A 12693-nucleotide genomic window follows, 5' to 3' on the forward strand; every position below is an offset into this window, starting at 1 on the left:
GTTTTTATTTTATTTTATTTAGAGACAGAGCCTTGCTATGTTTCCCAGGCTAGAGTGCAGTGGCTATTCACAGGCATGATCATAGCACGCTACAGCCCTGAACTCCTGCGCTTGGATGGTGGGCATGTCTTGCCAGATAGCAGTAACTCGAGCAGACCCTGCGAATTACCCTATGTTTCTTGGTGAATGTTTGTTCAGTGTTCTGAGGTATGGACCCCAGGAATGGCTAAATCAGATGTTTACACCATACCTGTAAGAACACCAGGACCCTGACTCGTTCCTTGGAACACAAGTCATACAAGGAAGCGAAGGCCTTTGTTTTGAGCGGAGTAGAGGCTACTAAGTAGAGGCTGCCAAACGAAAATACCTTTATAACTTACATGTTATTCACAAAATAGCAGTGGTTTTCCTGTCCAGCATGCCACTCCTGGATGCCCGGTATGTAAGCCCCCGGAATAAAACTCCATGTCTTGCCTGCTGTCTCCGGATCTTTTTTATTAGCCTCTCGGCGACTGTACCCTCCCAGCTTGCCAGCCTGGGGATCCAAAACGATGGGGCTCAAGCAATCCTCCTGTTTCAGCCTAGCTGGGACTACAGTCATGTGCCACTGTATAGGGTAATACACTTTAGAATGACTCTTGATAACTCTGAGATCTATCAGTCCCCGTACTGGGCTGGGCGTGGTGGCTCAGGCCTGTAATCCCAGCACTTTGGGAGGCCAAGGTGAGTAGATCTCTTGAGCTCAGGAGTTTGAGACCAGATAGCAGTAACTCAAGCAGACCCTAAGAATTACCCTATGTTCCTTGGTGAATATTTGTTCAGTGTTCTGAGCTACGAACCTGAGGAATGGCAAAATCAGATGTTTACAGCATACCTGTAAGAACACCTGGATCCTGGCTCATTACTTGGAGTGCAAGTTGTACAAGGAAGCGAGGGTAACATGGCAAAACCCCATCTCTACAAAAAATACAAAAAATTAGCCTCGTGTGGTGGTGCACGCCTGGAGTCCCAGCTACTCAGGAGGCTGAGGTGGCAGGATTGCTTTTTGAGCCTGGGAGGCAGAAGTTGCAGTGAGCTGAGATCATACCACTGCACTCCAGCCTGGGCAACTGAATGAGACCCTGTCTCCAAAAAAAAAAGAAACCTAGCATTGATGCTGAGGGTCTGGGATTGATGATGTACATGAAATGAGAAACATTCTTAAACTTCGTGATTACACAGATTTCCAGCTAGTCAACGATACTTTTATCCATCCTAGGTGACTCTTACTGTCCTATACTACTGTAGGAGAGCTCAGTCCTTATTTCAGCAATTGGGTGAGACACACATTGTGATTGTGCTTGTTTTTGAAAGACAGAGTCCAGGTCGGAATCACAGGGAAGGAAATCAACTACTTCAAAATATTGAACTGGTTAGTGGGAAGCGCTCAACTTCTCACTCAGAAATTCCAAGTGGAGAAATTTGCAGTAGAATAATGTGCCTGGCTTGCCTCGGCTCCTTCTCTCACTCTTCCCCAGGGAAGGAGGAGCATTTTCTCTGATTGGTGAGTTTCAAGAAGTAACTGAACAGGGAATGGCAGACTCTCCCTGCCTCCAGGCCTCTGAGATTGCTGACCTGCAAGAGCTAGTGTAAATTAAAAAAAATTTTTTTTTGCATATTTTTTATGCATATCTATGGAAGTCTTTTTGTTTGTTTGTTTGTTTCCTTAAGATGAAGTCTTTCCCTGTCATCCAGGCTAGAGTGTAGTGGCACAATCGTGACTCACTGCAGCCTCGACCTCCTGGGCTCAGGAGATCCTTCCCACTTAGTCTTCCAAGTAGCTGAGACTACAGGTGTGCACCACCATGCTTGGCTACTTTTTGAATTTTTTTGTAGAGATGGGGTCTTGCTATATTCCCCAGGCATCGAACTCCTGGACTCAAGCCATCCTCCCACCTGTGCCTCCCAAAGTGCTGGGATTATGGGCGTGAGCCACTGCACCTGGGTAGTGTGAATTCTGTTTTCTGCAACTGAGCCCATTCTACATACTTGGTGCTTCTGGCCAAGCTGTTATTAATGTTCATTATGTGGACTCCAGGATGGATTTTACGTAAAGAATGAAGACAACATCTATTCATAAAATTCCCCCAAATCAACTATCACCTCATTTCAGTAACTTACAGGAGAAATTGCCCTCTTCGTATAGGCTGATATTCAGATGAAATTGGACTTAATAAATATTCTGTTTTTTTGCTTTTGCTCACATTCTTCTGTACCCTTGACGACAGTGGCTGTGGACATGCAGAATGAATGGAAAAAGTGTCATGTTTTTACATTGGACCTTTCCTACTATTATAGCACAGTAGCTAACAAATATTTGAAACTTAACAAATATTTGTTGATTGAATGAATTATTACATTCAGGGATAAACTGAAAATGTTTTATTTATTTATTTTTGAGACAGAGTTTTACTCTTGTTGCCCAGGCTGGAGTGCAATGGTGAGATCTTGGCTCACTGCAATCTCTGCTTCCTGGGTTCAAGCTATTCTGCTGCCTCAGGCTCCTGAGTAGCTGGGACAACAGGCATACGCCACCACAGCTGGCTAATTTTGTATTTTTAGTAGAGACGGGGTTTCACCATGTTGGCCAGGCTGGTCTCGAACTCCTGACCTCAGGTGATCTACCCTTGGCCTCCCAAAGTATTGGGATGACAGGCATGAGCCTCTGTGCCCACCCAAAAGTGTTTAAAAATCACTGTAAAATATTCTATAATGCCCTTAATCAGATTCTAGTAGCATGGTGGGTTACTTACTGATTCAGCCTGGGAGTCTTACCAAGCTAATTTTGGGACAGATCCATCATGGAGGCCATGGGTGTGCAGTACTGAGAAAGCTTTTAAGCATTTATCACATGAAAGAGGGCACTACCACATTAGCCTGGATCTCATGTACACACATAGATACAGGTTCTCAACCAAGGTTTCCAGGTGCAAATAGTTAAAAACGTTAGAGTCCATCCTGGACAGGCAGCAAAGAAAATGATATAGCTTTCTGCTCTCTGGGGTCTGAAGCTCCAGCCTGTGTCCCATAATGGCTGTCATCTTGTCATTCACTTCACCTTTAGCCCGTGTTTAATAAGCCCCTTTCTGCTAAATATGCTGCCTGACTTCTTGGACCTTCTAATGTCACATATTCCAACTGCCCATCCTTGCTCTAGTTGACCTGTTTCCCAATTGTTCTCTCTCTTTCTTCCCAGACTCCTGAAGACTCTCGCTTTTAGCCATATGGGTGAAGGGTGATCTGCACATCCATTCATGCTCTTAATCAGACAACAGGTACTTGGGAGCACCAACTGTGTATTGGGTAGTGGGCTATGTGCTAGGGATACAAAGATGATCAAAACATGGTCCTAACTCACAGGTGATGATTGTACAATAAGTGATAAGGTCAAGGTAGCACTGGGCACTATGGGGGACAGAGATGAGGCATCAAACCAGGCTGGGAAGGGTTCCAGGAGCAAAGCTGCCTTCCTCCGGTTGCCATGTCCCAAAGAGCATCTATTTATAAAGGTGAAATTGAGAATCCTGAATAAGTCCTAGAACAAGACCAGAAGGCTTTGTGCTTCTGGGAGAAAATGGATAGGTAGACATGGGCTCTGAGGAGGAAGGAAAGTTCTACACACATTAGAGAAAATGTTAAGTGTTTAGGTTACTGGGCTTAGAAACAGCATTTGTACATCTTTGTGATGGGGCCTTATTGGCACTCTTTTAAAATTAGTCTTGGGGAACAGGGTTAAGTGGGGAAAAATATATCAACTAAAATTTGTTTATAATGCATAGGAAAAAATTGTGTGTGTGTGCTGTAGGTATTTTTACTGCCATTTTGGAGGAGGTTTATGGTTTCCTAACAAGCTCTGATTATTAAAAAGCATGTACTTGTATAGACAAGTTGAGGGAAAAGCCTGATTGACATTAATCTCACACATGTTGCTGGGAAGAATTTTTTTTCCTGGTTGTCTTTGAAGTGAAGATCAGAGGTGATTCTTTGTTACCGAAAAAACTTTGATGTTTTCCTGCACTACTGCTCACAGCCAGGATGTAAACACTAACATCCACAATCATTTTATGATTAGAAATTTGTTCAGGAAAACATAATTTGTTATTGCTCAGTTGTGACTTTGAAATGTTCCCGGGTGTCTTGAAGGGAAAAATAGTTCTAGAACAGAAGCATTGACATCCATTAACGAAGTCTATTTAAAAACTTGTTTAGCTGAAAATGAATGCATCAAAGTGGCAACAAAAGAACTTGCTTTAGTACAGTTGGAGTGGGAGGGAATCAGGATGCGTCCGACTGCCGAGCGCGTGGGACTGAGCCTGAGGTTTTGGAGCTGGACAGGCTCAGCTTTGAATCCTGGCTCTGTCATTTATTAGCTATATGTCCTAAAGCAACTTACATTATCTCAGGTTCTTCATAAAGAAAATGAGCATAATAATATTGTTAGAATTCAGTTCCAGTACGTATTTAAGGTGCCTAATATGAGTAGATGCTCAAAATGGTAGCTATGTTGATCTTGAACAAAGTCATTTCACAAAATTTTTACTCTGAAGTGTCAAATGATATGGCATGAGTTTTAAATGTACTAAATGGTCCAAATGTCTTACCTTGCACAACTCCTCCTGGTATGATATTGGCTTCTGTTTTTCCTGATTGATATAGAAGGCTGAAGGTGCTAGAATGTGACTCATCGAAGTGCATGGGTGAGACCTGGCAGAGACCCTTTGGACCAGTCCCACGTGTTGACATATATACCTGTGGTTTTCCATATGCTATATTGACAGATGCACAGATGATTTCTGGTTATTGCTGGCTGTTTCTCACAAATGCTATCCTCTCCTTAATTTATAACCTAATAGATACAGAAAGAGGTGAAAGTAGTGCCTATACTTTAATCAGCTGAATGGTCCTCCAAGCTATGAGAAAATCCTACTGTGCCACTAAACTTCCAGAGAAAATAATAGGGAATTGATGGAGGAGAGAAACCCCTTTCTGGCCCACCAGCACAACCAAATCCATCCACCCAACCTTTCATCCACTAACATGTGCTCAGCAGTGGGGGACGCAATGTGAAGCAGATATCTGCCCTCACAGAGTTGACAAGCTGGGGATCACAGGGTCAACTGATTTGTTAGACAGAATGCCTTCATATCAGGTGAGGAAAAGAACATTTCATCCCAAATATGCACTCTTTATAGAAAACTTAAAAAAAAACACAAATAAATGAAGAAAATGATAATCGCCTTTAACTTACTTCCTAGAAATAATCATCATTAGCATTTTGGTGTAGTTCCTCCTTACGTATTTTTTTTTTTTTTTTTTTTTTTAGATGGAGTCTCGCTCTGTCACCCAGGTTGGAGTACAGTGGCATAATCTTGGCTCACTGCAACCTCGACCTCCTAGGTTCAAGCAATTCTCCTGCCTCAGCCTCCCGAGTAGCTGGGACTACAGGTGCCTGCCACCACACCCGGCTAATTTTTTTTTCTTTTTTTTTTTTGGTATTTTTAGTAGAGACGGGGTTTTACTGCATTAACCAGGATGGTCTTGATCTCCTGACCTCGTGATCTGCCCACCTTGGCCTCCCAAAGTGCTGGGATTACAGGCATGAGCCACTGTGCCTGGCCTCCTCCTTAAGGTCTTTGTGTTTGTGTATGTGTGTCTAACATGCAATCCATATTTTCTGTCTTGTTTTATTATTCACTTAATATTATATCATGAGCAGTTTCCTGTGCTGTTAAATATCTTTAAAAATATGATTTTTAGTGGTTGCTTGATGTTCCATTTCATGGATCTACAAAATTAATTTTTACCATTTAGACTGCTTTTTTCCTTATTGTTTGCTACTGTAGTTAATAGTAAAATAACATCTTTAAACCAAAAATTGTGCCCAAATCTCCAGTTTTTCTTTAGGGTATATTTCTATAGGTGTAAATTTTTGGATCACTGGATATGAAAGTTTTGTTGCTTTTGCCAAATTACTTTCCAGAATGGGAAATATTTGGTTCTAGAACATCTGGATAATTTAAGCAGTGGTTTGGTTTAGTACTTGCTGTCATGTAAATCAATCACAATGACATACTTAGCTGAATGATGGTGCTTTTTTTTTTTACAGGTGAGTTTGGACAGAAGCTTTTTAAATTACAGGTTACAGAGGGTGGCTTTGAGGACCCATGCTGAAAACAATGGTCCTTTTTTAGTGTTTTTCTTTTTCTTTTTTCCCTTTCTTTCTCCTCGCCTTTCTCATTCCCTCTTCCTCTTTTATTCACAGCAATTCAAACTTCCCCATCTCCACCCATGCTCTTCCACTTATGCTGGTAACCCACATTCACAGCCTGGTATGTCTCCTTCCATAATTTTCCTCTTATACATGTAATTTTTTTTTTTTTTTTGTGAGGTGGAGTCTTGCTCTGTCACCCAGGCTGGAGTGCAGTGGCACGATCTTGGCTCACTGCAACTTCGACCTCCTGGGTTCAAGCAATTCTCCTGCCTCAGCCTCCTGAGTAGCTGGGACTACAGGTGCCTGCCACCACGCCCAGCTAATTTTTGTATTTTTAGTAGAGATGGGGTTTTACCATGTTGACCAGGCTGATCTCCAACTCCTGACCTCAGGTAATCTGCCTGCTTTGGCCTCCCAAAGTGCTGGGATTACAGGCATGAGCCACCACACCTGGCCATTGTACATGTAATTTATGCACATATATATGCACACACATGCATACATAATGTCACTATCTTACAGAAATGATGTTTCATTATACTTTTCCATGTTTGAAAAAAAAAAAAAGGTGAAAGGAAAGCAGTGTCTGGTGGTGAATTCAGCGGTGATTTTCTGGCGGCCATTGCCAGAGGCGCAGCTTAGAGCCAACTGCTCCAGCCCTTTCAATAATAGGTGCTTAAAAATTATTTTGTATTTCAGGTTGGGTGGTTCATGTTTCCTGCACTGCAACCTGATATATACACTTCATTTAATATGTCTTTTACATTATAATTCCTGGTGTTCCATTCCTTTCTAATTACCTTAGTCTGTTCTAGCTGCTATAATAATATACCATAGACTGAGTGGCTTACAAACAACAGAAATTTATTTCTCACAGTTCTGGAGGCCAAAAGTCCAAGATCAAGACTCTGGCTGATTCAGTGTTTCGTGAGGGCTGCTTCCTCACAGATGACAGCCTCCTTCTCACTCTAACTTAGCATAGCAGAAGGGATGAGGGACATCTCTAGGGCCTCTTTCACAAGGGTGCTCACCCCATTCACAAGGGCTCCACCCTTTCGACTTAATCACCTCACAAAGGCCAGATCTTCTAATGCTATCACCTTAGGGATGAGAATTTCAACATATAAATTTTGAGAGAACATAAACATTCTGCCCAACCATAACACAAATTAAAACAGAATAATTTCTCTTTTTTAAACCTGAATCCTGACCTTATTCAATCGCCCTTTTCCAATTCCCACCACTGATATATGTCATTGCTCTTTAAAATTTTTGCCAGTCTGATGGGTATAAAATAATATCTCAGTATTGGTGAATTTTGGTCTTCTCTGATAACTAGTGAGTTTAAACATATTTTCTTTAAAAATTGCCATTCATGTTTCTTTTTCTGTAAATGCCTATTGATATCCTTGGCCATTTTTCTTTTCAATTGCTTACTTGTTTCTTATCCATCTTTAATAGCTCCTAATGTATTTTAAATTATATGTCTTTGTCTATCATCAGTGTGGAAGTTCCCAGCTCACAGCCCCCAAATATGTTGCTTTTGAATGAACTTTGTTTGCTGGACATGATTTTGCCAGTTGATGTAGAGAAACCCTTGATATAGAACCCCTTCTATGTACTCTTTTGACCACAGGTGCTGGCAAGATAAAGACCACATTCACAGATTCTCCTGTAGCTAGGAATCTTTTATTATTATTATTATTATTTGAGACAGGGTCACCCAGGCTGTAGTGCAATGGTACAATCATAGCTCACTGTAGCCTTGAGTTCCTGGCTCAAGCAATCCTCTCTCCTCAGCCTCCTAAGTAGCAAAAACTACAGGCATGCGCCATCACTCCCGGCTAATTTCAAAAATATTCTTAACAAAATAAATAAAATAAAATCCTGTCTCACTATGTTTGCTCAGGCTGCAGCAAGAAATGTGGCATGAGTTAGGTTGCATCAAAGGGATGCATTCTTGCAAGACCTGGAAGATGGAAGGGAGGCAGAAGCCATCTTCTTCTATTTCTCCTGTAAAGCAAGTTTAGAGAATTATGAATGTTTGTAAGCAGACTCTGCATTCCAGTGTCTGATCATCCCCTTCCTGACTTTGAGAACTGAAGAAGCAGCAGTGATAGTAGCAATAGCTTTCTGACGTCTCTTTGTAATTTTGTTGATGTGTCCTTGAAATGGGTCATACGGTGGCAGACATCTGACTTCTGGTTCTTGTTCTGTAACCTTCCGATACTTTTGTAAACTCCTAATTTCCTGTATTAAACTCTTCACTTCTTAAAATATCTAGGGTGGTTCATGTTTCCTGCACTATATTCTCACTGACGCACTTTGTTTTGTTTAATGTATCTTTTACTCTGTAAAGTTCAAAATTTTTATACAGTCAAATATTTCTATTATTTTTACTGCATGGTTTATGAGATTCCTGACTTGGTTAAAAAACATCTGTGACCCTAGATTATACCATACATGGAGTCCAGATTATCTTTTACATTTTTATAATTTAACTTTTTATTTTACATTTTTATTTACCCTGGAATTTAGTTTTAATATTATGTAAGATAAAGCCTGAATATTACTTCTTTAGGTGGTGTTGTGGACTGAATTGTGTCTCTGCAAAATTCCTACATTGAACACCTAATTCCCAGTGTGACTGTATTTGGAGGTAGGGCCTTTAAAGAGGCAATTAAGGTAAAATGAGGTCGTTAGGTGGGGTCCTAATCCAATATGACTGGGGTCCTTATAAGAAGAGGAAGAGAAACCAGGGATGTGCATGCACACATTAAGAAGGCCATGGAAAACCGGGCACAGGGGCTCATGCCTGTAATCCCAGCACTTTGGGAGACTGAGGCCAGTGGATCACTGGAGGTCAGGAGTTTGACACCAGCCTGACCAACATGGTGAAACCCCATCTCTACTAAAAATACAAAAATTAGCCAGGGGTGGTGGCATACGATTGTAATCCCAGCTACTTGGGAGGCTGAGGAAGGAGAATTGCTTGAACCTGGGAGGCAGAGGTTGCAGTAAGCCAAGATCGCGCCACTGTACTCCAGCCTGGGTGACAAAAGCAAAAAACTCTGTTTAAAAAAAAAAAAAAAAAGAAAGAAAGAAAAAGAAAAAAAGGAAAGGCCATGGAAGAAACAGTGAGAAAGTATCCCATTGACAAGACATGGAGAATGGCCTCAGGGAAAACCAGACCTGGCAATGCCTGATCTCAGGGCTTCTGGCTTCCAAAACTATGAGAAAATCAATTCCTGTTGTGTAAGCCACCCAGTTTGTGGTATTTTGTTAAGGCAGTTGTAACAAACTAATACAAGTGCATAGACAATTGAATTAGCATTATTTATAACTTAATCATTTCTCTTGTTGAATTGAAATACCACTTGATCATGTAAAAATGTATATATGTATAAGGCTCACTGTAGCCTTGGCCTCTGGGGCTCAAGCAATCCTCCCACCTCAGCCTCCTGAGTAGCTGGGACTACTTGGGGATGCACCACCATGGTCAGCTATTTTTTTTTTCTTTTTCGTAGAGATGTGATCTTGCTATGTTGATTGGGCTGGTCTTGAACTCCTGGCCTTAAGCAATCCTCCTGCCCTCCAACCTCCCAAAGTGCTGGGATTACAGGTGCGAGCCACCTCACCTAGCTGAGGTTTTTTTGTTCTTGTTGTTTAATTTTTGTGGGTACATAGCCGGTGTTTGTATTCATGGGGTTCATGAGATAGTTTGATTCGGGTGTGCAATATGTAATAATTGCATTATGGTAAATGGGGCATCCATCCCTCCATTATTTGTCCTTTGTATTACAAACAATACAGTTATACTCTTTTAGTAATTTTTAAATGTATAATTAAATTATTATTGACTATAGTTACCCTGTTGTGCTATCAAATACTAGGTCTTAGTCATTCTTTCTAACTACTTTTTGTACTCATTAACCATCCCCATTTCTCCCTCTGCTATTCTCCCATCCTGCCCACTACTCTTCCCAGACTCTGGAAACTGTCTTTCTACTCTCTGTCTCCATGACTTTAATTGTTTTAATTTTTAGCTCCCACAAATAAGTGAGAACATGTGAAGTTTGTCTTTCTGTGCCCGACTTATTTCACTTAACATAATGACCTCCAATTTGATCTATGTTTTGCAAATGACAGGATCTCATTCTTTTTTTTTTTTTTTTTACGGCTGAATAGTACTCTATTGTGTATATGTACCATATTTTCTTTATCCATTCATTTGTTGGTGGACACCTGCATTAATTCCAAATCTTGGCTATTGTAAACAGTGCTGCAACAAACATGGGAGTGTAGATATCCCTTTGATATCCTAATTTCCTTTCTTTGGGGTATATACCCAGCAGTCGGATTGCTGCTTTATATGGTAACTATATTTTTAGTTTCTTGAAGAACCTCTAAACTGTTCTGCATAATGGCCATACTAATTTATATTGCCACAAACAGCGTATGAGGGTTTACTTTTCTCCAAATCATCGCTAGCATTAGTTATTGCCTGTCTTTTAGATAAAAGCCATTTTAAGTGGGGTGAGATGACATCTCATTGTAATGTTGAGCACCTTTTAATATGCCAGTTTGCCATTTGTATGTCTTCTTTTGAGAAGTGCCTTTTTAGAGCTTTTGCCCTTTTTGAATCAGATTATTAGATTTTTTCCTATAGAGTTGTTTGAGCTCCTTATATATGCTGATTATTAATCCCTTGTCAGGTGGGTAGTCTGCAAATATTTTCTCTCATTCTGTGGATTCTCTCTTCACTTTGTTGATTTTTTCCTAGCTGTGCAGAAGCTTTTTAACTTGATGTGATCCTATTTTTGTTTTGGTTGTCTGTGCTTATGGAATATTACTCAAACATTTTTTGCCCAGACCAATGTCCCGGAGAGTTTCCCCAATGTTTTCATTTAATACTTGATAGTTTGAGGTGTTATATTTAAGTCTTTAATCAATTTTGATTTGGTTTTCATATGTGATGAGAGGTATGGGTATAGTTTTATTCCTTTACATGTGGATATCCTGTTTCCCCAGCACCATTATCGAAGAGATTGTCTTTTCCCAAATGTATGTTCTTGGCATCTTTGTCAAAAATGAGTTCACTGTAGGTATATAGATTTGTTTCTGGGCTGTCTATTCTGTTCCACTGGTCTACATGTCTGCTTTTGGCCATACCATTGCTGTTTTGGGTACTGTATCTCTGTAGTGCAATTTGAAGTCAGGTAATGTGATTTCTCCAATTGTTCTTTTTGCTTAAGGTAGCTTTGGCTATTCTCGGTCTTTTGTGGTTCCAAGTAAATTTTAAGGTTTCTATTTCTGTGAAGAATGTCATTGGTATTTTGATAGGGATTGCATTAAATCTGCAGATTCCTTTGGGTAGTACAGACATTTTAACAATACTGATTATTCCATCCATGAAAATGAAATATCTTTTCATTTTTTTCTGTGTATGTCCTCTTCAGTTTCTTTCATCAGTGCTTTATAGCTTTCATTGTAGAGATCTTGCACTTCTTTGGTTAACGCCTAAGTGCTTGATTTTATTTGTGGGTATTGTAAATGGGTTACTTTTTAATTTTTTTTTGAGGATTGTTCACTGTTGGCATATAGAAATGATACTGATTTTTGTATGTTGATTTTGTATCCTGCAACTTTACTCAATAGTTTATCAATTCTAATAGTTTTTTGGTGGAGTCTAGGTTTTTCTAAATATAAGATTATATCAGCTGCAAATAAGGATAATTTGACTTCTTACTTTCCATTTTCGATGCCTTTCAGTTTTTTCTCTTTTTTTTTTAAATTATACTTTAAGTTCCAGGGTACACGTGCACAATGTGAAAGTTTGTTACATATGTATACATGTGCCATGTTGGTGTGCTACACCCATTAGCTCATCATTTAGCATTAGGTATATCTCCTAATGCTATCCCTCCCCCCTCCCCCCACCCCACGACAGGCCCCAGTGTATGATGTTCCCCAACCTGTGTCCAAGTGTTCTCATTGTTCAATTCTCACCTATGAGTGAGAACATGCAATGTTTGGTTTTTTGTCCTTGCGATAGTTTGCTGAGAATGATGGTTTCCAGCTTCATCCATGTCCCCACAAAGGACATGAACTCATCCTTTTATATGGCTGCATAGTATTCCATGGTGTATATGTGCCACATTTTCTTAATCCAGTCTATCATTGATGGACATTTGGGTTGGTTCCAAGTCTTTGCTATCGTGAATAGTGCTGCAGTAAACATACGTGTACATGTGTCTTTATAGCAGCATGATTTCTAATCCTTTGGGTATATACCCAGTAATGGGATGGCTGGGTCAAATGATATTTCTAGTTCTAGATCCTGGAGGAATCGCCACACTGACTTCCACAATGGTTGAACTAGTTTACAGTCCCACCAACAGTGTGAAAGTGTTCCTATTTCTCCACATCCTTTCCAGCACCTG

General features: G+C 40.3%; 1 annotated feature.

Annotated features, from left to right (window-relative positions):
- Window positions 10566-11069: an enhancer, noted in NCBI's record as "NANOG hESC enhancer chr4:53632875-53633378 (GRCh37/hg19 assembly coordinates)". NCBI's record gives its function as "activates a minimal SCP1, AML or CMV promoter by ChIP-STARR-seq in naive H9 embryonic stem cells {active_cell/tissue: H9 hESC(naive)}" and the evidence as "EXISTENCE:reporter gene assay evidence [ECO:0000049][PMID:30033119]".

This window comes from Homo sapiens, chromosome 4 (assembly GCF_000001405.40).
Source record: "Homo sapiens chromosome 4, GRCh38.p14 Primary Assembly".
In the NCBI taxonomy this organism is placed as follows: Eukaryota; Metazoa; Chordata; class Mammalia; order Primates; family Hominidae; genus Homo; species Homo sapiens.